Source organism: Homo sapiens, chromosome 3 (genome assembly GCF_000001405.40).
Source record: "Homo sapiens chromosome 3, GRCh38.p14 Primary Assembly".
Lineage (NCBI taxonomy): Eukaryota > Metazoa > Chordata > Mammalia > Primates > Hominidae > Homo > Homo sapiens.
The window spans coordinates 178,738,270-178,766,015 of record NC_000003.12 but is presented as its reverse complement, the minus strand read 5'-3'; the positions used below and the strand labels follow the sequence as shown (position 1 = coordinate 178,766,015).

At 36.8% G+C, this 27,746-nt stretch overlaps 2 protein-coding genes and 1 long non-coding RNA gene across 8 annotated transcripts in view; 2 read left to right on the top strand and 1 right to left on the bottom strand.

Moving 5' to 3' along the window:
• Positions 1-27,746, top strand: part of KCNMB2-AS1 (KCNMB2 antisense RNA 1) — a 334,939-nt gene that overhangs the window by 94,390 nt on the left and 212,803 nt on the right. The window contains exons 3-5 of one of the 2 annotated variants that reach the window (NR_126560.1): positions 8,883-8,936; positions 16,780-16,970; positions 17,531-17,612. This is a non-coding gene — a long non-coding RNA (KCNMB2 antisense RNA 1). The remainder of the gene's footprint in view (positions 1-8,882; positions 8,937-16,779; positions 16,971-17,530; positions 17,613-27,746) is intronic. The other variant, NR_126561.1, reaches the window with a different exon arrangement.
• Positions 1-27,746, bottom strand: part of KCNMB2 (potassium calcium-activated channel subfamily M regulatory beta subunit 2) — a 307,994-nt gene that overhangs the window by 78,414 nt on the left and 201,834 nt on the right. The window lies entirely within an intron of this gene.
• On the top strand, positions 14,411-25,960 carry LOC124909461 (uncharacterized). Of its 2 annotated transcripts, none has more exons than XM_047449427.1 (2): positions 14,411-16,906; positions 17,531-25,960. In XM_047449427.1, exon 2 carries the CDS (start codon positions 18,997-18,999, stop codon positions 20,071-20,073), a length of 1,077 nt encoding a protein of 358 aa, XP_047305383.1. In that variant the 5' UTR covers positions 14,411-16,906; positions 17,531-18,996; the 3' UTR covers positions 20,074-25,960. The 2 variants fall into 2 exon arrangements, with proteins under 2 accessions (XP_047305383.1, XP_047305382.1); XM_047449426.1 differs by having other exon boundaries at positions 14,417-16,970.

The window sequence follows — 27,746 nt, the reverse complement described above, 5'->3', positions numbered from 1 at the left end:
GGAGTCTTGGGGAAGAAAGAAGGTCTTAGATTAAGAAGGAAGAAAATCAAAGGAACAGAGGAAAGTAGACTCTGGAATATTTGGAGTAGGGAAGATAAGGTAGTTCATATCTTACAATCACCATCTTCTGGTAGAAGTAAGAGCAAAGGCATTTAATTAAATGTGATGATAATAGAGATGGGTGGGATTGAGGGCTCGATGAACAGGAAGATGGTCTAGGATAGCAATTTTTAAGGAGTTATTGGTACTAGGGAACAGACAGGTGATTAATAAAAGCATTGTCTTGTACAAAACCAGAAAGTACAGGGTTTCAGTCTTGTTCCTCCAGTGCACACATGTGTGGACATGCACACACACGTGGACATGCACACATGCACACGCGCGTGCACACACACACACAAATTCTAGCAGAACTGATCTAGAAGCCCAGCTTAGGCATTTGCTGAGAACGTGAATGGGATTGTGGAAGAAGAATTAGTGACAGATTGTGTAGGTGACAAGCCAAATCATGTTTACTGAAGTAAACACCTTTTTAAAAATCTGGCCTCAGGCTCCCTTTGGAAAAATAAAGAAGAAAAGGTAGAAAGTGAAAGTCAACAAGAAATGAGAGGTGGTTTTATTTTATAAAACAGAAAATGAGCCAGGCTGTAGTAAGTATTCTTGCAGACACTCACCCCATATCTTAAAGTCGGGTCTATACTAGTTGGCCAGTGACAGGCATCTTTTTTAGTGGGTGGTTGATAACACGTGTGTGAGGGGTAGTTGCCACAACAATGCACTTTGGGAAAGAACGAGTGAACTCTAGGAGTCCATGCCCAGTCTCAAATGCTGCGATGACTACTTTTTGGTGCCTACTTTGTAAGAAGACACAGCACCATTACCTGATTAGCAAAGTATAATTTGTGAGCAATAGTGTACAATTTAGCTTGGATGTGTTCACACTGTAATTTAGTGAAGATTCCCATACTACGTTATTCATTCTAGACATCAAAGAAGAGTAATAAATATGCAATATTTTTCCTTGTTCTAAATGTAGTTTATTATTCTCATTGATTTGTTTTCATGAGTCACACAAAGTATTATACTTTACTTGTATTAGTTCATTTATCTGAGTGAGTTAAATAGCTATTTAAATACCCTTCCATTTTCTTCTGTGGCTAACACAATGCTCTGGGCCAGGAGAGATTTTATTTTATTTTATTTTTGGACAAAGTTTAGTTGCTATATATGCATGTCACTCTGGGTAATGCAAATATAAAAACTTCCAGTGTTCATAATGTGGATTGTTCTTGCAATCACACCAGTCTTAACAGGATCTGCACTGGGCATTAGTACTCAAAATAATGAGTTGTGCTGAGTCTCATTCTTTGACTCAAGGAAGTACACACATGCACTGCTTAATGACATGGATATTTTCTGAGAAATGTGTTGATTTTGTCCTGTGAGTAACGTAGAATGTATTTTACACAAACTTAGATGGTATATCCTACTACACACTTAGACTATATAGTGTAGCCTATTGCTCCTAGGCTACAAATCTGAAGTTTGTTACTTTACTGAGCACTGTAGGCAATTGCAACACAATGGTAAGTATTTGTATATTTAAACATAGAAAAGGTAGAGTAAAACTACAGTATTATAATCTTATGAGACCATTGTCCTATGTCCTATATAGTTCATCATTGACCAAAAAAGAGGTGCATGAATGTAATATGTTGTAATGGTATGGTATTAAGAATTTCTGCTTTTTGGGTGACAATTCATGAAAAATCAGTTTATAACTCAGTGTGCCACCACATTTCTTGTTATAATAAATGTATTTGCACAAAGATCAAAATGTGCGAAGTTATTTCTTTTTAATAATGAGATGTAGATTTTATGTTTGACAAAATTGTAAATGGTGTGGTGGAAAGAGCAGTAGACTACGAATCAAATAATGGGGGTTTAATTCTAGGTCCTTCATTTATCATCTAACCTTGAACATTTAGTTATCTTGAGCCTTGTTTCTTACCTATAAAATAATCCTGATTATGGCTTGCATTTTATAGTGGTTTTCTGCTTTAAAATGAGTTTGATATATGTCACTCTATTTAACAATGACAAAAATCCTGTGAATGTTAACTTAGTTATTGTTAGCACCATTTTTTCAGATCATGAAACAGACACTGAAGGCTTTTCCAAGGCATGCCACCAGTAAATGACAGAAGTATAACATAACCTATGGTTTTCTACTTCCAAAAAGATTATTTGTTCTACCACTACACAGTGGTGTGTTTCGTTTGATTCTCTCACAAGAAATTGCTGAGTATCAAAAGACATGATCTAAATTTTGTCTCCATCTACCCACTCTCTCCCATGGTCATATCCTAAATTGTATCATCACTAGTATCTGCACCATCTCAGAAATCTTGATTTTAAACATCCTACTCCTGGTCAACAGCATTCACCTGAAGCTTATTTATTCTAAGATTCTCTATGCAATAGCTTTTTGAGCTTACTGAATCTCCCAGCTGTTTTTCATTATCCATCAACTTCTCACTTCCTCTCTTTGCTTTTCTCCTCATCTAAATCGATTTCACAGTCTTTTCCTATAATCCTTCCCTTGCAGTCACCCCTAACTCCTTTGCCTCATTTTCCCTTTATTGTCCTTATCTGACTGAACCCCAATCTTTGGTGAAAATAGCTATCTTTTCTGCTCCTGTACAGCAGCAGCCAACCTTTACTGAAGAAAATCACAAAGCCTGACTTACTGGCTTCATATTAAAGAATGACTATACATTTCAAATGATACTCAACCATCACCTACAGTTCCCTAATGAGTTTGATTTCTCTCTTTGAAACAATTAATTCATATCTTCACCTTTCTTGTCAAACCTCCCACAGTTTTCAGTTTGTTAACTGATAGCTTGCCTTTTCCACCACAAATCTATACATCCTTCCTTCCTAGATGACCTCATCTAGTTCCATGCCTTTAATTATCATCTATCGCTAAGTGACTTCCAAGACTCCCAAATTTATATCTCTGGATTTGTCTCCTAAACTCTAGACTCACATATACTTCTGCCTGACACTATTTATGTATCTACTAGACATCCAAAAATTGACACTTCCCAACAGGACTCTGATTACTTTCCTGACAGATACTCATTCCTTTTTTTTTTTTTTTCAACTCAGTAAATGATCATACAATCTACTCAGTTTCTCAAGCCTAAAATTTTATAATAACTTTTAATTTCTTTTTCTATTTCATCATGCTTTCCTAAATCCAGAAATGTCCATGCTCTGTTGCTTCTACTTCCAATATATCTCTCTAACTAGTTCATTTCTCTTCATTACCACTACTGCCACCCCAGTTTCAACTTTCAACCTTTCTCTCATCTGGATCTCAGTTATAGCCTCATTACTGGTATTATTTTTTTCTTGGCTGTTCCCTTACATTCTACACCCTGCAGCAGATGGAGAGGCATTTTAAAATAGGACATTTTATCAGGGCTTCCCTTGTTTTAAATCTATTAATGGTTTTCCATTGCTCTTGAAATCTGAATTCCCCATAGGCCCTGCATGTTCATATTTTCTCTAACGCTGTTGTGTTGTACTCCTTTTCTTACTGGGATATAGCCACACTGGACATGCCACGTCTTCTCAGGGCTTTTGCATATACTGTTCTCATGTCCTGGAATGTTCCATTCCTTACTCTTGGGTTGGCTGGATTCTTCTCACCTTTTTGTGTTCAGCTCCATAGCATGTCCCCAGGAATGCTTTGTGTGGCCACACTTTCTAAGAGCTCCACCTGCTTTTCCTTTTTCTTCCGATTACTTTCTGTTCTTGGTTTTTGGTTTTTTTTTGAGACGGAGTCTCGCTCTGTCGCCCAGGCTGGAGTGCAGTGGTGCGATCTCGGCTCACTGCAAGCTCTGCCTCCCGGGTTCAAGTGATTCTCCTGCCTCAGCCTCCCGAGTAGCTGGGACTACAGGCGCCCGCTACGACGCCTGGTTAATTTTTTGTATTTTTAGTAGAGACGGGGTTTCACAGTGTTAGCCAGGATGGTCTTGATTTCCTGACCTCGTGATCCGCCCGCCTCGGCCTCCCAAAGTGCTGCGGTTACAGGCGTGAACCACCATGCCCAGCCTACTTTCTGTTCTTAAAATTTTTTCTTCATAGTCCTCACAATCTGAAATTACTTTGTGTGTTTGTTTGTTTATTGTGTATCTCCTTCAACCAAATGGTCAATGCGTGATATTAGGGACATTGTCTATATTTTTTTTATAGCTTTTCTTCAGTGCTTGGCATAGCTCCCAGCAGCTACTAGGCTCTCGGCAAGAATGCTTGTTGAGTAGTGCATGAACATAAAGGACTCTTTTACTGTGGTATAACACTTTCTACTCTTTATGGATGGGAGGATTTGCTTTAGCTGATCAGTGGCACAGTTGATCTATATTGGGCACGAAAAGGCAAAATGACAAGCCATCTTGGCTACATTTGCCATTCAACAGTTCTTCCCACATGAAAATCTATCTTTTGTTTTGCCAACTCTAAACTAGGACTAATAGGATGTGGATAGACTGTAAGGAAGTGTTGACTCAGATAAATAATATCTGTTAAGAAAGATTTATGGGGAAATGATGTTGCATAGAAGAAATATAATTTTATTTCTTCTGTGCTTTAGAAAATAATATTGGATTTCTATTGCTCGTTCCATGTGATGACCTGAGAAGAATGCACAATGCTACTATTGCTCTGGCACCACAGGAAACTGCCTTGAAACATTGACATCATAGAGACGAGGAATGAGAATCAGAGCATGTCACTCACTATGATTCATTTCTAGCCTCTTTGTCTAAGCATGGAGATTTTCTTTAAATGAAGTTAAAGTTCATTCAGACTCGGAGTTAGTGCAGACTCGGAGAAACTGCCCACACCTCAACTTAAGTATGTGAGTAATTAAAGATGTGCCACTTTGAAGGTCTCACACCTTCCCATTTTTATGAAATTCAAGGGATTAAAGACCTTATCCAATTTCTTAATGCCGAGGCCCTAGAGCCCAGAATTGCAAGTGGTGCATATTGTTATTAGTAAATCAAGTTATTAGATAAAATTTTGATCAGAAAATGATATAAGCAGTAAAAAAGTAAACCCTAAATATCTTCTATAATCATTCTTTCCTTCAATGGCCAACACTTACATGTATTTTTTCTATTTGTTACTTGTCTCTAAGGAAGAAACTGATTATAAACATTTTCTTTAGAGACTGTATTTGTTATTAAATCTGCTGTTTGGGACAATTTCAAAGCCTTTCCTCACTACACCCATCCTTGCTTATCTCCCTTACACTTCGACTGCATCTTTGTTTCTTCTTTTTCCTTTAATTTATTTCCTTCTTGTAAAAGAAAATTTAGCTAAGATTGATAGGTACAAAGAGAAGTGAAACCAAAGAAGGAAGAGTTATGATAAAAAGTTACCAGTGAAAATTGTGGTATACACAAACACACACACACACACACACACACACACGAAACTCTTGGAGATACATTATATATATAATATATATATATCTTGGATATGGATATATATATAATATATATATCTTGGATATGGATATATATATAATATATATATCTTGGATATGGATATATATATAATATATATATCTTGGATATGGATATATATATGTAACGAAGGAGATATATATCTATATATATCTATATATAGATATATCCTCTTGGATATATCTATATATAGATATATCCTCTTGGATATATCTATATATAGATATATCCTCTTGGATATATCTATATATAGATATATCCTCTTGGATATATATATATATATAGATATATCCTCTTGGATATATATATATATATAGATATATCCTCTTGGATATATATATATATATAGATATATCCTCTTGGATATATATATATATATAGATATATCCTCTTGGCTATATATATATATATAGATATATCCTCTTGGATATATATATATATATATATAGATATATCCTCTTGGATATATATATATATATATATCCTCTTGGATATATATATATATATATATATCCTCTTGGATATATATATATATAGATATATCCTCTTGGATATATATATATATAGATATATCCTCTTGGATATATATATATATATAGATATATCCTCTTGGATATATATATATATATAGATATATCCTCTTGGATATATATATATATAGATATATCCTCTTGGATATATATATATATAGATATATCCTCTTGGATATATATATATAGATATATCCTCTTGGATATATATATGTGTATATATATCCTCTTGGATATATATATGTGTATATATATCCTCTTGGATATATATATATATATCCCTCTTGGAGATATATATATATATATCCTCTTGGAGAGAGATATATGTATATATATCCTCTTGGAGAGAGATATATGTATATATATCCTCGTGGAGAGAGATATATATATCCTCTTGGAGAGAGATATATGTATATATATCCTCTTGGAGAGATATATATATATCCTCTTGGAGATATATATATATATATATATCCTCTTGGAGATATATATATATATATATATATATCCTCTTGGAGAGATATATATATATATATATATCCTCTTGGAGAGATATATATATATATATATCCTCTTGGAGATATATATATATATATATCCTCTTGGAGATATATATATATATATATCCTCTTGGAGATATATATATGTCTCCTCTTGGAGAGATATATATGTATCTGTCTCTTCTTGGAGAGATATATATATATCTATCTCCTCTTGGAGATAGATATATTATATATATATATCCCTCTTGGAGATAGATATATATATATGTATCCCTCTTGGAGATAGATATATATATATATCCCTCTTGGAGATATATATATATATCCCTCTTGGAGATATATATATATATCCCTCTTGGAGATATATATATATATATATATATATATATATATATATCCCTCTTGGAGATATATATATATATATATATATCCCTCTTGGAGATATATATATATATATATATATATATATATATATATCCCTCTTGGAGATATATATATATATATATATCCCTCTTGGAGATATATATATATATATATCCCTCTTGGAGATATATATATATATATATCCCTCTTGGAGAGATATATATATATATATCCCTCTTGGAGATATATATATATATATATCCCTCTTGGAGATATATATATATATATATATATATATATATATATATCCCTCTTGGAGATATATATATATATATATCTCCTCTTGGAGATATATATATATATATATCTCCTCTTGTAGAGAGAGAGATATATATATATATATCCTCTTGGAGAGAGATATATATATATCCTCTTGGAGAGAGAGATATATATATATATATCCTCTTGGAGATATATATATCTCCTCTTGGATATATATATATATATATATATATCTCCTCTTGGATATATATATATATATATATATATACATCTCCTCTTGGAGATATATATATATATATATCAATCACCTCTTGGAGATATATATATGTATATATATCACCTCTTGTGTGTGTATATATATATATATCCCCTCTTGGATATATATATATATATATATATATATATATGTATCCCCTCTTGGAGATATATATATATATATATATATATATCCCCTCTTGGAGATATATATATATATATATCCCCTTGGAGATATATATATATATCCCCTTGGAGATATATATATATATATCCCCTTGGAGATATATATATATATCCCCTTGGATATATATATATATATATCCCCTTGGATATATATATATATATATCCCCTTGGATATATATATATATATCCTCTTGGATATATATATATATATATCCTCTTGTGTGTACATATATATATCCTCTTGTGTGTATATATATATATCCTCTTGTGTATATATATATATCCTCTTGGAGATATATATATATATCTAGATATATATATATATCCTCTAGATATATATATATATATATCTAGATATATATATATATCCTCTTGTGTCTATATATATATCCTCTTGTGTCTATATATCCCCTTGTGTATATATATATCCTCTTGGATATATATATGTATCCTCTTGGATATATATATGTATCCTCTTGGATATATATATGTATCCTCTTGGATATATATATCCTCTTGGATGGATGTGTATATATATATCCTCTTGGATGGATATAAGATATATGTATATATATCCTCTTGGATATATATATATATCCTCTTATATATATATATCCTCTTGGATATATATACATATATATATCCTCTTGGATATATATACATATATATATCCTCTTGGATATATATACATATATATATATCCTCTTGGATATATATACATATATATATCCTCTTGGATATATATACATATATATATATCCTCTTGGATATATATACATATATATATATCCTCTTGGATATATATACATATATATATATCCTCTTGGATATATATACATATATATATATATCCTCTTGGATATATATACATATATATATATCCTCTTGGATATATATACATATATATATATCCTCTTGGATATATATACATATATATATATCCTCTTGGATATATATACATATATATATATCCTCTTGGATATATATATATATATATATATATCCTCTTGGATATATATACATATATATATGTCCTCTTGGATGGATATATATATATATATCCTCTTGGATATATGTATACACACACACACGTGTATATATATATGTGTGTATGTGTGTACCACAATTTTCACTGGTAATTTTTGATTGTAACTGTTTTTTTTTTTTGGTTTTACTTCTTGAACCTATCAATCTTAGCTAAATTTTCTTTTACAAGAAGGAAATAAACTTAAGGAGAAAGAAGAAACAAAGATGGGGCGGAAATGTAAGAGAGGTAAGCAAGGATGGGTGTAATGAGGAAAGGCTCTGAAATATACATATATATATATTTCCAAGAATTTTTTTTCATTGTCACTTTAGTGCCACTTCTTCCCATTTTTGTACTTTTTCTTGGCAATTTTTCTCTTTAAAATCGCTCCCAAGAGTACTGCTGAAGTGCTGTCCAGTGTTTTTAAGCTCAGGAAAGCTGTGATGTGCATTATGGAAAAAATGCATGTGTTAGATAAGCTTCATTCAGGCATGAGTTTTAATGCTGTTAACTCTAAGCCCAATGCTAAGCAATCCACAATAGGGTACATCCAGAGAAAGAAAGAGGAAATTGGCTGATATGTGCCTGTAGGTGAGGTTGCTCTGGAAAGTGCTAAAGTAGCATCAGTAGTGCCTGATAAAGCTATGGAAGGGAGAAATGGCTGAATTTGGGATTCATGAGATGATGCCTGATAAAAATAGGCATAATGGACAACATTGTTCTGAGGCTGAAAGTCAGAGAAATTTATATTCATTTTACCCAGGTTCAGGAAAAATTTAAACTCTTCTTGACTAGTGTGTTATTATAAAGAAATAATGCATATAATTATTTGTGAAAATATATATGAAGTCATATTTCAAACAGAAACACACATAAAACACACATAAAACAAGGTTTTGTTTTGATTGGTTGACAGAAACATTGTGACCAGAGGCTCACAGAAACCTAATTCTTTATTTCCCATAGGAATAGTGGCTAATTCAACTTTACATAACATAAATAATGCAAATAATGAGAATTGACTGCCCATATACATACTTTTCTCTATTCACACAAACACACACACACGCATACACACACACACACACACCCACACCCACATATATATACACACACATGTGGAAAATCTATATATACCCTTTAATATGTATATTTTATTAAAATGGGATCATGCTTTTCACAATTTTATAATTTGCTTTTTTTCTATTTTAACATTTCATTATGATCATCTTTCCAGTTGAACTGATTTGTCACATGATTTTTAATGGCTGCGTGACATTTATTTCATTTTATGAATATAGCAAATTTTCAGCAAGAAAGTTTGTAATAATTTATATCCTCCTCAGCAGTGCCTGAACCCTGACCTCAACTGAGTATTGTCTGAAATTCTTCCTCATTCCATTGTTGTGTTTCTCATTCTATATCTGGCATAATTTCTTTCTGTATTTCTGCCTTGGGTGACTTGAAATATAATATTTTAGGCATGTGGCTAATTTTGAAAAGTTCTGCTGGTTTTGAGAACAGTGTTTGAGTGCAACTCAGAAAACGGTTGTATTGTAGTTGATACAGCCATGCCAAGAAATTAAATTTGTCAAATTTCCAATAGCCGAAAGTTTTTTTGAAAAAAAGTGAAGGAATAATAACCCAGAGAATGTCCTTTGCATAGCCTAGGAAATGTCAAAAATTTGCCATCCACATAATCTCATTGTCTGCTCCAAGTTAATATTTGAAATAATTTGGGCAAAACCAAAAATACCATAGCAATAACATTGACATTTTGTTTTACCTGCTTGATACAAAAGGGTGGCTATGGTCCCACAGAGGTTAAAAGTATTTTTGTTCTTAAAATGACCTCAACCAAAGGAAAGATAGTAAAATACATTTTCCTACTCTACATTAAGCTTTAAACAAAAATTGAAACAGATCACAACTGTTAAAGGGTCAAACCTGAAAAGACAGTGGTGCTTCCCACCCCCAGTGTGGTGTGTAATTGAAAATAAACATAATATGAAACTGTACAGTAAGTGTGAGGAAGTTCTCACTATGATTTTTCTCATATTGGCTATCTTGAAGCCTTTTTATATTCAAAATGCCAGGTTCATTCATGGGGCGTTTTTTGAGTGCTCCTGCTATGCACAGGCATGTCTCCTTGTTGCTGCTGCCCCAGATGGAGGAGTTGCTGACACTGCCTGCCGTGGAAACGGCACTCTCATAGCTGTTGGTCATGCTTCCCTTCCTTTGCTGCTGGTGTTAGCAACTCCTAGATGCGGTAGGGGAGCCTAATGTGTGCCTGCCAGAATGGGGAAATGGTCCATCTGCTCTGCACTGAGCTTTAATTTCATTGCCAATGACGGCTGCAAGGCAGATTGATGCCCAAACATGGAGTGCACAATGGCACTTAGAGGCTGCGGGAGAGGAACTTTAGTCTGTTCATAGCCCATAACCCAGAATGAGGGCCAAACGTGCTAAACAAGCTGTCTGTAAAGCTGCAGGGTCTATGCCATCCCAACCAGATGGAACTGGTCTAGAAGCTGGGAGCACTCAGTTCCTAGCCCACTGATGTTGCTACAGTAGTGTGACCTTGAGCAAGTCACTTCGCCTTCATGCTTTGTTACAGCAAAGTATCATCTATAAACGTCAGATTAGAGAATGTGATCTACCTACCTCCCCTGTTGTGGGGGCGCATGACATAACATCAAATCTCAATGATTCATCCAAGTGCACCACAAATGCTGCCTCCTCTGTGGTCATTCAAAGGGCACCTCTGATTCCTCCAACTGAACAGAGTCTTTCCTTTTGAATTCTATTGGCATTTTAATAGCATCTTTCTTTGGACACATAATAAATAGATTAGCAAACATTTATTAGATGTGCCAACTTTATTCTGGCTACTATTCTAAGTACTTCAGTGGTAGTTGGGGGTGGAGTAGTGAGATCAGGTACAAAGATAAATAACCAAGTTCTTGAAGGTTTGGTTTAAAGATAATATGAACTAAAATGAAATTAGTATGTCAAAGAGATATCTGTCTCTTGTGTTCATTGAAGCATTACTACACTAGCTAAGACTGGAATTGATCTGTGTCCATCAGTAGATGAATGAATAAAGAAAATGTGATATATATATATATATGTATGTGTGTGTGTGTGTATATATATATATATATATATATATATACAATGGAATATTATTCAGCCATGAAAAGGGGGCATCCTGTTATTTGTGACAATATGAATAAATGTGGAGGACATTATGTTAAGTGAAATGAACCAGGCACAGAAAGATAAATACTGCATAATCTCACTTATATGTGAAATCTAAAAACATTGAATTTATAGAAGCAGAGAGTAGAATGGTGGTTATGAGAGTCTGATGGGACAAGAGAATGGAGAAATGTTTGTCAAAGTATACAGAATTTCAGTTAGATAGGAGGAATAAGTTCAAGAGATTCATCCTACGACATGGTGATTATAGTTAATAACAATGTATTGTATTCTTGAAAACTGCTATGAAAGTAGATTTTAAGTGTTTTCACCACAAAAGAAATAAATATGTGAGGTAATGAATATGTTAATTAGCTTGATTTTGCTTTTCCACAGTGCATACATATATCAACACATCACATTGTATGCCATAAATATATATACTTTTTAGTTATCAATTAAAATATATTAGGAATTTTCTATATTCCATCTAATTTTCTCCCAATAACTTTGTGCTCCTTCATAAGAGAAACTCTTTTTTTTGATAACTCCCTTGGCCATTTTAAAGCATTCACCAGAATGTCTCATAGAAAGTAATGACAGCATACTGAACACTTAAGAGTCCCAGGCATTTTTGTAAATGCTTTACATGAATTAACTCATTCAGTCATTTTTCCAATACGATTGTTATTACTACCTTATAGACAAGATCAGAAAATGGCACAGAGGAGTTAAGAACTGCTCAAGGTCACACAGTCAGTGTTTGGCAGAGCCAGAACTCAATCCCAAGCAGCCTGACTCCAGAACATACACTTGTGATCATCGTGGCTACCTCCCGTGGTAAATGAGGTCCAGAAATATTTGTTGAATGAATGAGTGTTAGAGTGTTTAAAAAGTTTAAAGTGCTTTACAAGGTTAAGTCATTACTACGGTTACTACAGACATAACTATCACTACATGACTGCCATTGACATCCTGTAACATTTTCAGAGGAAGGAAATCTCATCATTTTACTTCTGATGTTGGAGCTCAATAACATGCAGAGAGCAAGCACCTGATCAGAGAGTTGAGCAAACCTAGTATAAAATGCAAGTTCAGCAGAAAGAAAGGTAGAAAAAAAGAAGTCTTTGCTTTATTATCCTAATGCTTGGGGCCCATAGTATTTCGGCTAATTCTGGGTGAATTCTGATTACTAGCCCCAACCCACAGTGTTAGTTTTTTGCTTCCCCAAAAGACTATGCATTAAGTTTGTCTCTTATACAGACTGATTATTCACTGACTTTATCTTTACTCTCAAATATATCCTTTTTAGTACTTAAGCTAGACAATATCGTGTCATCTTTAATTTCTACTCTCCTTCAGTTGGTGGCTAAATCCTGCCCATTAAGTGTTTTTGAAAGATATTCCCTCTCTTCTACTCTGACTACCATTAACTTCAGTATTTTTGATTACACCACAGTAATAGGTTTCTAACTGGCCTCTCAGGGTATGATCTGTATTTTCTCCAGTTTTTCCTCCAGTTTTCCATTCTCTAATTTACATTTATGAAATGCACATCTGGTATTATCCCTTGTTCTTAAAAGTCATTAATGGCTTCCATTTACCTCCAAGATAGACCATAAACTCACTCCACAATGTGGTCCCAACCTGCTCCTTGGACACCATTTCCCATTATACTTCCTTATTAATTGTATATACTATAACCACACCAGACTGCTGTTCACCATTCCAAAAATGGGTCATATGCTCCCATGTTCCCAGGACAAATGCCCTACATTCTTGTCAAAAATTCCACCTGTTAAAATGTTTGATTTTCTTAAAGGCGCAGCTCAATGTCATTTTCTGATTATCCCGAGCTAAAATTCATTGCTATTCCTAACAATTCTATGTTTATAGTTCTCTTCTGACACTTATTTGTTTTATATTATGAGATCAGTAATATACCTTTTATATAATAGATTGGAAGCTCCTCGAACTTTAGAAAATAATTCAACTTTGTAGCTATATAACAACTAGCATAGTTGTCATATATTTTTAGCTTTTTAAATATGTAGGGCTCATCTCCCCACATATACTGTTGGCTTTGGCAGGCAGTGACCATTTGCAACATGAGTTTGCTTCTGTATTTGGGGTGTTAACTTTAAATTTGCTTCTACCAGTTAACTTCCTTGGGCAGGTGGCCAAAAGGAAGTTATTCTAATTTCTTCTTTCAATGATTGCCGTGAGGGCTAAGAGAAGTAACATCTGCAAAGCACTGGATATATTAGGATCTCAAAAAAAGGTAGCCATTGATTGGTTGCTTTATGTTTGAAGTTGGCACAACACTTTATGTTGCTGAGTCTTGGCATGAGCCATCCAGTCTCAGGGATTGATTGTCTCCCATAATAAAACATGTGTGCAGTTTAATTCTAGCACACTCTCCAAATAAACATTTCCCTCTTCCCTATTGTACCTTTGTGAACTGCCAGCATGTTTCCATTTGCTCTAAAATAATCTACTCAGTAGTGTCTTGTAACTGCTTTTTTTTTTTTTTTTTTTTTTTTTTTTTTTTGAGACGGAGTCTCGCACTGTTGCTCGGGCTGGAGTGCAATGGCATGATCTCGGCTCACTGCAACCTCTGCCTCCCAGGTTCAAGCGATTCTCCTGCCTCCTAAGTAGCTGGGATTACAGGTGCCTGCTACAATGCCCAGCTAATTTTTTGTATTTTTAGTACAGATGGGGTTTCACTATGTTGGCCAGGCTGGTCTCAAACTCCTGACGTTGTGATCCACCTGCCTTGGCCTCTCAAAGTGCTGAGATTACAGGCATGAGCTACTGTGCCTGGCTGTAATTGCTTTTAATTTTGAAGGATTTAAAAGATTATTATTATCTATTTGTCTCTGAACTATTTCTTTGTATACCTTTACTCTGGTCTTCTTGGAACCTAAAAGAAAGCCTCAGTCTTGCAGAGTATAATGCCTGAAACATAACATCAATAGATAAGTATTTGTTGACTCAATAAATGGGGAATAAGTGAATGGCTTCCATGCTCCTGGTAGGCAAAAAAAATGCAAACTATTTAGTTATGTGAGTTGTCTATATTAGTCGTGCAAAACTATCCTGGGTTTCTAGGCAGCATATCTGAGAATGTTTTTTAATATCTGGGGGTAGATTAATCTACTCCTCCCTTAAATAACAAGTCGATCCATTGAGAAGAAAGTGCTATGGTGTACTCAGGCAGAATTTAAAAGAACATGAGCATTACATGAAGCAGGAAGTTAATTTGCCTGCTGGAGTTGATGAGGAAGTAACACAGGGAATTATTATTCATCTCTTTAGGACTGCCAGGGTGAAAAGTTTTCCCTCTTATTACCTAATGAGGCTCTGCCAACTGGGTACCCCATAAGCTCCTACTGTCTGAAAAGCAGTGCCAAATCAGGACTTTTGTTGGGAAAACTGACTCTGTGCCCATGCGGGTGCAAAAGTCTGTCTGCATGCTCTGGGCAGTGTGTGCTGAATGACAAGGTGAGTCTAAAGGAGACAAAGTGACTCCTTCTACCTAGGTTAGATTAGACGACGGCAAGGGCAGATAAAGTTATCTGGGAAACTCCATGTACCAGGCTCTGGAATCAGATCTGTTGGATTCTGCCTTCAGAGTAGAATGTCTGACTGGCCTTTCTATTGCCCTTATCAATGAAGACTGTTTAAAGCTGAATTGACTGAGCAGTGTTTTTTTGTTTTGTTTTTGTTTTTGTTTTTTTTTGTAGAAGGCTGTCGCAGAGTAAAATAATATCATGAAATGACTTCATAATTAGCTACTTTAGATTCATTTGTGGGAAAAAAAGTCAAAGTCAAAACTTTACTTCCTTTTCTTTTCCTTCCCAAAACACCTACATCACCATGCCCTATTTTCTAATTTTTTTTTTTTGCCAAAGTTATTGACTAATAAGATCATGGTATCTTACTGGCAGAGTAAGTGGATTATTTTAATTCCCATTGGACTTCTTTTCCAAGTGACTTCCTCAGCAATAAGGAAAGAGTTCCCACATCTGAGCTCTAAAAGTGGTTAATGGATGTGTCTTTCTCTACAAATTTAGTGTCTTAAAGGCACACAACATACTTACTTAAAGGAAGCTCTCCTGTAGTTCTACTGTGATTTTCATGTCCATGCCCATGGGAAAGAGCCTCTGTCTTCAATCTTACATAGTTACTCTGGGTCTCATAACCAAATTAAGAGCAGAAGAAAATACTGAGTGGTAAATTAAATCAGCTTTCCCAGAGGTTAGAAACACTTCTCAGCTACCTCTGTATTCATACATCTATTTTCCAATCTGTTCAATTCAGCTGTCACAATTTCACCCCATTTACCCCTTGCTAACACTTGAAATGCTGCCTTTAATTAATTCTCCACACTCAGAACTTTGAGCAATGCCAAGTTAGTTAATTATCCAAGTGTATTGCTTTAAGCATTTCCTAGATGCGAATTATAAAAATTCTTGGTGAGTGCCAGCATCATATCTTCAAAGACTTGAGCTTCCTTGCCCTCCACAGAGCTGTGCTGGATACGAAATGAGCAGATGGCACAGAACAGTATCTAGATTAAATTTTCTCTCTCAACTATGATATAGGTATCCAGAAACATCCTCCTTTACTTTACTGATGAAGTGGAAAGGTTGAAAGGAAAGGTGTAACCAGCTTTTGAATAAGTTGGACTAGAATTATTATTGTATAACTTCTCTAAGATCTCTAGGGGCTTATAGCTTTGTGCTAGGTGTTACCAGTTGAAATGAGATAAGATTATCATGGATGCCAAATTTTACTGTTGTAGTAGAAATTTGTTTTACAAAACGTCTCTCATGAGAAAAGAAAGGAAAGCAATAACATTTATTTATTTTCTTTTTCTCTGCAGGCATTCTAATATATGCATTCTTCATAACAACTGTGTGAAACATATTAATATCCTCATTGTTAACGATGAAGAAACTAAATCTCAGGAAGAAAAACTAAGTGAAGACAAAAGAAGGATTTGAACTGAGGTTTGTCAGACTCTCGGGACCATGCTGTTGAAACCACTAAACCACGCTGCCTCTGGGTCACTTGGTAAACAGCATTTAACCATTAAGAAAGTCATTAATAAAGTTCCTTGTGCTCTCCTTGAGATTACAAGCCATTGATTTGCTAAACTGGAATCTTTGTTTTGTTATGGTCACAATTACTTGCCAACAGGAGATAAATTTATTGAGTTTCTTAAATATGAGCACCTGTCTTCCTTCCCTTAGCAGAGAACATGTCTCAGTCAATATTTCAACATAGTGGACATAGGTCACCAAGACACAAAGTCTCAGGATAGTTAAGAAATAGTTTGTGTTCTAAGGTATCTGGGGGTACCAATTTTCTCAATTTTCAATAGCGGGGTTCTCAATTTTCAATAGCTAGCTTCTATTTGTGAACATTAATCCAAAATTGTTAAAAGCATAAAGTTCAGAATATTTCCTGCAGGCCTGTAAGAAAAGGTACATACTAAAATCTAATCTTGTTATAGAGAATTAGTTTTTATACAAACTCTCTACTTAGGGGTGGGAAAAAGGATTGTATCTCATGTTGCCTAATTCCCATTCATAAGCCATTAATGTTCTTTTCTAAACTTTGAATTTTTACAGATTATTCTGGGAGATTCTGGGAGTCTTTTCTCCAACACTCCAGTGGCATCTGACTATGTGAGCTGATAAGATCTATAGATCTGTGAGTTGGCAGAGCTGTGAAAAGTTTCTCCCTTCTTAGGACATAAGCAGGAAATCTTGATACAGGAATCAATAAGGGGAAAGAGAAAATGTTTATTAGAACAAATTTATTATATTTGGGTGAACAAAACACTTATTTTACAGTAGACTAAACTCCAGGATATGGAATATTTCTCAATTTCTTTAACTTGCTATTGTTGAATATAATTTTGGCTATAGTCACTTTGAGTGATGGTTCCAAACAAGGCAGAATTTGGCCTCTAGAAACAGAGAGAAATATCCAGAGAAAATATGGAACGTTCACTGGCCTCAGAGTAAAAAGTTCCAAATTGAAGTCCTATCTTTGGTGACAATTAATGGAATGAAGTTGGGTTAGTCATCAGACTTTTAAAAACCTTCGTTGCTGAATCTGCAGAATGGGCACATTAGAAATGTCAATCATATTGCTGCCATGCAAACAGACTCCTCTATTTGGTGCTATTTCAACCAAGTAACTTTCCTGCCTACAGCAACAGAAAACTGGTTCAGGGTGAACACCTGTCATAAGGTGAACTAGCTAACTTTGAGGAGGTTTATCATAAAAAGATGAACTGGATTTGAAATAGGAAACAGAGTGAAACATGAGGTAGAATCAGGACCAAGAGAAGTCTTGGTGAGCCGAAGTTAGGATCATTTCAATCAAGTAACAGTGAGGTTGAGAAAAGATTTATAGACTCAAAGACAAGACTAAGTCAGTTATTACATTAGCATAGTCATTGAGACCATAGGTTTTGGAGTGAAATGGATGTAGATTCTTATTAGCTGTGTGATCTTCAGCAATTTACTTAACATCTCTAAGGTTCTGGTTTCTTGTCAGTAAAATGAAGATAATAGTAAATAAATAGTAAAATGGAGATAATTTTCATTATAAGATTGTTGTGAGGATTTTAATTAATACATGATAAACCCGTAGAACAGTGGCTGGCATTTTGCTAATTCTACATCAGTGATATGGTTTAGCTGTGTCCCCACCCAAATCTCATCTTAAATTCCCACATGTTGTGGGAGGGACCCAGTGGGAGGTAATTGAGTCATGGGTGCATGTCTTTCCCATGCTGTTCTCATGGCAGTTAGTCTCATGAAATCTGATGGTTTTATAAAGAGGAGTTCCCCTGCACAAGTGCTCTCTCTTTGCCTGGTGCCATCCATGTAAGACGTGACTTGCCCCTCTTTGCCTTCTGCATGATTGTGAGGCTTCCCCAGCCATGTGGAACTGTAAGCCCATTAAACCTCTTTCTTTTGTAAATTGTGCAGTCTCAGGTATGTCTTCATCAGCAGCATGAAAATAGACTAATACAGTAAATTGGTATCAGTAGAATGGGGTGCTGTGGAAAAGATACCTGAAAATGTGGAAGCAACATTGGAACTGGGTAACAGGCAGAGGTTGGAACAGTTTGGAGGATTCAGAAGAAGAGAGGAAAATGTGGGAAAGTTTGGAACTTCCTAGAGACTTGTTGAATGGCTTTGACAAAAATGCTGATAGTGATATGAACAATAAGGTCCAGGCTGAGGTGGTCTCAGATGGAGATGAGGAACTTGTTGGGAACTGGAGCAAAGGTGACTCTTTTCATGCTTTAGCAAAGAGACTGGTGGCATTTTGCCCCTGCCCTAGAGATCTGTGGAACTTTGAACTTGAGAGAGATGATTTAGGTTATCTGGTGGAAGAAGTTTCTAACCAGCAAAGCATTCAAGAGGTGACTTGGGTGCTGTTAAAGGCATTCAGTTTTTTAAAGGGAGCAGAGCATAGAAGTTTGGAAAATTTGCAGCCTGACAATGTGATAGAAAAGAAAATCTCATTTTCTGAGAAGAAATTCAAGCCGGCTGCAGAAATTTGCATAAGTAACAAGGAGCCGAAAGTTAATCCCCGAGACAATGAGGAAAATGTCTCCAGGGCATGTCTAAGGTCTTCACAGCAGCCCCTTTTGTCACAGGCACAGAGACCTAGGAGGAAAATATGGTTTAGTGGACTGGGCCCCAGCTGTGTGCAGCCTAGGAACTTGGTGCCCTGTGTCCCAGCTGCTCTAGCCATGGCTGAAACGGGTCAATGTAGAGCACGGGCCATGGCTTCAGAGGGTGCAAGCCTCAAGCCTTTGCAGCTGCCACTTGGTATTGAGACTGCCAGTACACAGAAGTCAAGAATTGGGGTTTGGGAACCTCTACCTAGATTTCAGAAGATGTATGGAAACACCTGGGTGTCCAGGCAGAAGTTTGCTGCAGGAGTGGGGCTTTCATGGAGAACCTCTGCTAGGGCAATGCAGAAGGGAAATGTTGGGTTGGAGCCACCACACAGAGTCCCTACCGGGGCACCACCTAGTGGAGCTGTGAGAAAAGGGTCACCATCCTCCAGACCCCAGAATGGTAGACTCACTGATAGCTTGCACTGGCACCTGGAAAAGTCACAGATACTCAATACCAGTCCATGAAAGCAGCTGGGAGGGAGGCTGTACCCTGCAAAGCCACAGAGGCAGAGCTGTCCAAGATCATGGGAACCTACCTCTTGCATCAGCGTGACCTGGATGTGAGACATGGAGTCAAAGGAGATTATTTTGGAACTTTAAGATTTGATTGCCCTGCTGGATTTCAGACTTGCATGGGGCCTGTAGCCCCTTTGTTTTGGCCAATTTCTCCCATTTGGGATGGCTGTATTTACCCAATGCTGTACCCCCATTGTATCTAGGAAGTAACGAACCTGCTTTTGATTTTACAGGCTCATAGGCCTAAGGGACTTGCCTTTTTTCAGATGAGACTTTGGACTGTAGACCTTTTAGTTAATACTGAAATGAGTTAAGACTTTGGGGGACTGTTGGGAAGGCATGATTGGTTTGAAATGTGAGGACATGAAATTTGGGAGGGGCCAAGGGTGGAATGATATGGTTTGGCTGTGTCTGCACCCAAATTTCATCTTGAATTCCCACGTGTTGTGGGAGGGACCGAGTGGGAGGTAATTGAATCATGGGGGCGGGTCTTTCCCATGCTGTTCTCAATTATAGTAAATAAGTCTCACAAGATCTGATGGTTATTATAAGGGGGAGTTCTCCTATACGAGTTCTCTCTCTTTGCTGCCATCCATGTAAGATGTGACTTGCTCCTCCTTGCCTTCTGCCATGATTGTGAGGCTTCCCCAGCCACGTGGAACTGTAAGTCCAATTAAACCTCTTTCTTTTGTAAATTGCCCCGTCTTGGGTATGTCTTTATCAGCAGCATGAAAATGGACTAATACAATCAGTGTTTGACTTATTACCTGAGAGGTATCATACTAAGTGTTTATGTGATTTATGTCAGTGAATCTTTCAACAACTTTATGAGGATTATTTTATTAATATCTCCACTTTGTGGAAGAATAAACTGAGGCACATACAGGTTTATTAACATCTTCCTGTCACACAGGTAGTAGGTGGCAAAGCTTGCATTTGAAGTGGGGCTTTATGGCTTCAGAGTCTGCTTGTTCACCATTACCTTCCACTGCTTCTCTATAATTGATGAGTAGCAGCAAGAAGAATGTAGAGCAGGCAAATAGAAAGTAGCTGAGCCCTAGAAGTGGCTGATAACTTGTGTAAGAAGAGCAAAATCAGGCTGTGGGGATTTATGGCTGCCCTGGGTTCATTGCAGGTCTTGGGAAGCCTGGCCATGCCTAATCCTTTTTTTTTTTCGGATCCCACAAGATCCTATGTGTCCTTGCAGGAAGTTTCCCGTTTCAGGAGAAGGCTCCAGTGAGCCTCTGTTCCAAGCATGACACTGAGCCACTGGGTGTCAACCCTTGCTCTATCTTGAAGAAACAAGGTTTGTCAAAGATTTTTGTTCCATGGAAACAGGGATTGGTTTGGTTTGGTCACCATCATCCACCTAACATTTAGCATAGCACATAGTAGGGGTTCCTGAAATAACTTTTTGAAAGAATGAGTAAAAAACTGGAGTAAAACAAATGTAAAGCACTGCTTTCTTCTAATTACTGATATAACTATTTCTTTCAATGACTAATTCCTCATGCACTAGTCTACATAGTTATAGAAAAATGACCTTTTGTTGAAAAACAGAAGGAATTGTACAATAGTTATAAAATAAGTGTTTCAAATTCCTATTACTTGAAGGACTGAGGGAGCAAAAAGATATTTCAGGTTATTAATCTATATTTATCATGTCAACAATTTATCAGGCAGAATGCCTAACAATAAAAGCCCCATTATGGCTTCATTTAACATGAAATACCGTGTTATTAACTTACAATATTATGTGTATTTCACCCTGATCATAGACATTTCAAAGAGCTCACAGTCTCTTTCCATCTCTGCAGGTAGTTAAAAAAAGATTTAACTTCTATCGCTATAGCAAACCATATTCTAGTGAATACTGACCTTCTTGAGGGTCATATGCCTATACCCTCTGAACTAAAATTTGCTAATGATATTTCACAAATCTCCAGAAATAGATGCTTTAATTCTGTCCAATGTTACATTCTCTTCAAACAATGCCTCTCTTTTTCTTGCTGAAAATTCATAGCAAGACCAGCGGTCGATGAAGCCAAACACTTCCCAGGCTTCCCCTTGATCCTCCTGCATCAAATGCTTAAAATTTAATGCTGGAGCTTATAGCGCCATGAGCTCCAGAGATAGAAGTAAATGAAAAGTCAACCTTTCAGGCTGTATTTCTGCTCAAGCTTTTGTGTTTGTGGTTCCCCCCACCATGGCAGCTGAAACAGTTTGCTATCAGAACACTCTACTGTCAGAGGAACTTTGTGATCAACACGACGCAGAGATTGGAAAATGTCACTATTAGGGAATTACAGTAACCAGGGCTCTTTCTGACCAGGTCCATTTGTGCTTGCAGAATTTTGTCAACACAGCAGGAGCCTGGGGAGTCAGGCCACTTGTAGTAGCACGTGGGAGTATATGCTTGCTTTTTCTCAGGGAAAATTCAGAAGATTAGAAGGCTTAGCTGCTCTGAGTATCTCTGAGCCTCTGTATCCTCAGAGGATAGTGCTTTAAGGAGGAAGTGTGGTGGGCATCATCTGACATCTGCAATGGCCATGATAGGTTACCATCGTAATCTGTTTTTGTGTCTGTCTTGATAAAAACTAGAAATATAAATTTATGTGTACCATTTCTACAGTAGATTTATCCTAGCATAATTCAGACACTTACAACTTCTTTCTAGGAGACAGAAACTTTGGGGAGAGGATGTGTGACAAGCAAGAACATTGTTACATGATATGGTCACAGGGCTCCTGGACTCCTTTTCTGCACACTCTGCTACACTGCTATGGAGGCCACACTGTCTTATCTTAAGACTTTTCTTCCCTTTACTTTCCCTTCTAGGAATCCCACTCATTTTGCCCACAGGCCTTGGTATTCCCTCAAAATAGTGTTTCTTGTAACAGCCACAGACTCAAAAAATCATTCAATTTACCTTACCCTGAATACCACACAGGCCTCTGAGACAGCCTGGACAAGGCCCTAGTGATGTTTACCAAGTCTCCCTCTGTCAGGTCACTGGATTGCATATTTATTGGCCAGTGTACACACAGCACAGTGATGAAAAATGATACCCCACAGCCATATTGAAGCAATATTCCAAGGTGTGTGAGGCCGTCAACTCAAAACCCTTTGAGAGATTACCCCATCCCCAGCCATATGTTTGGTACTACAGGTACGTTTTTCTGCCTTTACCACTTTGGGAATTTTTTTGACAAGGGGTCTCCGATGACTGCCTTGTTGCTGTGCAGGGAGGAGAGAAGTGAGGCTCAGGTTTCAACTGAGGTGTTAATTATACCAGTGACAGACTTGCTTTATTAGGGCTTAATTGACATCTTTGTCTCAAGCTTGAGAAATCTAAACAAAGAATATTTAAACTTTGGCTTTAGTTTTGCCTCGACCAAAAATAATTATTATTCCTATAAGTTGTATAGTGATGTATTAGGGGTCAAATGGAAATAAAATTTGAGGCAAATCCAATGTCATTTAGAGTTACTTGCTTTGCCACAGCCATGATCCTTACAGCACGAAATAAGCCTCAGATCAGAGGGGTTTCTCTAGAGCAAAGACATAGGTGTGCAGGTGTAGAACACGTTTAAACAAAGCCCCCACCCTTGTTGAAAGAATGTGCTATTCCATTAGAGGTTTTATGAATGTGAGTATCATTTGAATCTTTCTAAATGAATGAGCCTGATTTTCCTAACCATTAACCGTAGAGTAGTTTTAATGGCTCTACTCCATGAAATACATGCTGACAGTGAAACTGCCTTTATAAGGTGTTCTATGACTTTCAATGCTATCGTTCTGTAGTCAAATGTATTTTTATTATAGATATTAACAGTTGGTTAGACTTTCTTTACCTGCCCATTATGTTCATAAATCAGTGCATCTGTAATAGTTAAGAAAGAAGAACTTGTTAAAGCTTATGTTTATTCTTCCACATAATAATCTTAGGAGCTAGATAGGTGCTTATTCATTACCCATTAATGTTGGATTTCTCCAGAATAAATAGAAGACTAAATCTATCCTATGAGCCTTGGGTAGATGCAGAGTTGGGATTTATCAGAGAAATATTTAAATAGTTCATAAGGGCAAGTTCATCCCCTCAGCAGGCATCTACTAAGGTCTGTTGTTGACCAGACTACACACTAGGCTGGGGGTCTCACCAACATGAGGAGGATAAGTCTGACCCTTGAAGAACTTGCTTTCTCATAGCTGAAGGAAGGTTGTGGACGCCTGGTCTGAAATTGACATTTGGAAGCCTGGAGAGGATCAATGTCCTCCCCTTTTAACCCCAGCCTACAGGAAAAGGATTGTGGGGAGAGGAATCTTCCTGGTAGAAGACAGGGAGGGATGACCTGTTGGTGGTAAGACAGATTCAGTTAAGGGGAGGGAAGTAAAAAATGAAGCATGGGATAGGGATAAATGTGATGGAGGTAAGAGATCTTTGTAGAAAACTAATAAAGCCAGTGGAAAAAAGAAAAACAAGAGATATTTTCCCTTCCTTCTAGGAGGAATGGAGGAAATAAATATTCATTGGGTTTCTGCTATGAGCCATACAGTGTGCTAGGTGTTTCACAGGTGTTCCATTTTTTTCTTAAAACAGCCCTGTAAGTTGATGTTATGTCCATTTTATAGGTGGGAGAATGAAGTGAGCAAGGTTAAATATCTACTAAAATTCACATTCCAATGCATGGTAAAAGTGATGTTCAAACACAGGTGTGTTCATCTCCAAACACACTCTGTTTACGTGACAGATGCCAAGACCTCAACTGCAAATGGACAAACATGTTCATTTATTAATTCAACAAATGTTGAGCCCTATTGTCTGCCAGACAGTCGAGGATATTTCTCTCTCACTCCTTACTTTTGGGCTTTCATGCGTTTCTCCTCTCCTTGCCTCTAAGCCTTATACCCTTTTAAGCTTTTTTTAATTTGTCACTTGTGAAGAATTGATGATTTTGTATCCCAGGTCTGCTGTTCAGGAAATTAAATTGTTTTGTTACTTTGAGCCTGTGAGTTCTCTTCTGTAAGGTGAAGGATAGTAAGAATCTTTCTTTCATAATGTTGGGTAGTTTAAATGAGGTAATGTATGCAAAAGAGCCCAGTGCCTGACAGATGGCAGGTGCTCAACATGTGTGTTCATTAAGGTAGTCAACCAAAGATTCTCCCACCGAAGCAGAAAGTGGTACAGAGAATATCTCCTTGGAGAACAATAACTCTGCTGATGGTGATGATGGTGAATAATGATACAGAAAATCCTTAAAGACAGAGCACAAGTAGGCTTCCTAAATATATATTTTGTATGGCATACTAAGCTTAACAGTAGCTCCTAAGATTATTATGTGGAAGAATATAAGTAAGCTTTAACACATTCTTCTTTCTTATTTATAGTGGATGCACTGATTTATGAACATCATGGGTAGATAAAGAAAATCTAACCAACTGCTAATATCTATAATAAAAAATGTTTACGGGGGCCAGGCGTGGTGGCTAATGCCTGTAATCCCAGCACTTTGGGAGGCTGAGGCGGGCAGATCATGAGGTCAGGAGATCGAGACCATCCTGGCTAACATGGTGAAACTCCGTCTCTACTCAAAAATACAAAAAAATTAGCCAGGTGTGGTGGCAGGTGCCTGTAGTCCCAGCTACTCAGGAGGCTGAGGTAGGGGAATGGTGTGAACCCAGGAGGCAGAGCTTACAGTGAGCTGAGATCGCACCATTGCACTCCAGCCTGGGCGACAGAGCAAGACTCTGTCTGAAAAAAAAAAGAAAAAAATGTTTACGAAGCAGAAGCAGCAGCAGAAGGAAAAAAAAAATCACTTGCTGACATTTCAAATCAAAAAAATTTTACATAAAAGTCTAAATTTCTGCATTTTCTTGAAAAATAGGAAGATTTGTCAAGAGTAGGTTAGTGTTCCCACGTCAGCTGGAGCTGAGCAGTAGCTGTCCCATGTCAGCAGGATCATGCTACACAGTGTCAGGGTGAGTCTGTGTTCTGGTTTTCCTGGGACAGCTTGGTTTGTTCCCACTGACCTAGCATAATTATTAATAGCATCCCCTTTTCTTCTGATTTGGAGAAGTTTTATATATTCCCTTCATCTCTTTTATGCTTTAGGCCTACTTGCACCACCTCTCACCTTTATGTTACCTGCCTGCCCCAGTAAGCGTTAGAGATTGTGACCTCTTTTTATGGGCATCTTTTTCCTGTAGACTATGTTTCAATAGCACACTGTTTTCCAAAGGATTTGGAGGTCAGAGAGATTTAGCTTCTCTACCTTCAGAAACTATATTCAACAATCACTCTTGAATTCAAGGAAAGGACAATATCCTGTTAAGTTCTATCTGCCCTATGGAGAGCCTATACCAAGCATGGTAATTTGCTGGAAAATTTGGTCAGACTCAGTATGTTGAACTAGATAATTCATTTGCCTTTGAGGAGTCCTTTCATCTCTGCAATAAAAAAATCTGGAGTTGTCCCCAGAGGTAAATTCTTTGAAACACTCAAACAGCAGGAATAAGAAGATATGATTTCCATGGCTATATGATAATGGCCTGTTACTTTTGTATAACTCTTTTCCTTTGACATAGAAGTCTCTCCTTCAACTTATCACTTGAGGCGGGCAGGTAAGTGTTTTTGTTCTAGTTTTATAGATGCGGAAGCTGACTGAGAGGTTAAGTGACAGAGCCTAAAGTCACACAGCCTGTGGGTTATGGAAGTGGGGTTGGCCCACTTCTGAATCCTCTCTTTATGCTCTTTCTACCTCCTGCTGATATACATGTTTTTTTTTTTTTCTGTTATTTAGGGACATTTTTCTAAGCTAGAGGCCCCTAGCCTTTCATCTTATGACTTTTTTCCTTACTACATATCAATTGACCACTGGAAATTATATATTTTTATAAAAATATATGCCCTTGTCCTGCACAGCATTATTTTCTACATGTTGGGAAACAGACTGATTCAGTAGGTATTCATTGCAGGCACATCATGGACTAGACGTAGTCTCTGACTTCATTAGACTTACAGTTTGGTGAGCACGGAGAACAGACATCGGTATGTTATTACAAACTATAGATGCTGGTAAAGACAAAGTTTCCGCCCTCAGGGGTTTATGTTTCAGTGAAGGAAAAGTACTGTGAGGGCCTAATGGGCTGGGAGGCAGGTGAGTGGGGAGAATTAGGGTGTAGGAAGGAATCTACTATGGAGAGTCAAGAGAAGGCTCTTCTCAGGAAGTGAAATTTGTCCTGGGGTCAAAAATGGGGCTTTAAGTTGGGTAGGAGGGTTCCAGGCAGAGGAAAGAAGATATTCAAAGGACCTGGGACAGAAGGAAGTTTGGCTTATGGGAACAACTTAGAGAATACCAGTGGTTTCATGCTTGAATAATGAGGAAGAGTTGTACAACCTGAAGCTGCCAGGTCATGTAGACTTTGGAGCCATGCTGAGGATCTTTGGTAGTATTCTGAAAACAGTGTGGAGTTAGTAATAGTTTTAAGCAAGGGAGTCACATGACCAGATTTGAATTGTAAAAACATCCATCTTGCTGCTAGAGTAGAATAGATTGTTGGAGGGAGGGCCCAATAGATGAGCACAGGTTAGAAGGCTGGAGATGCCGGTGGCTGGGACTAAG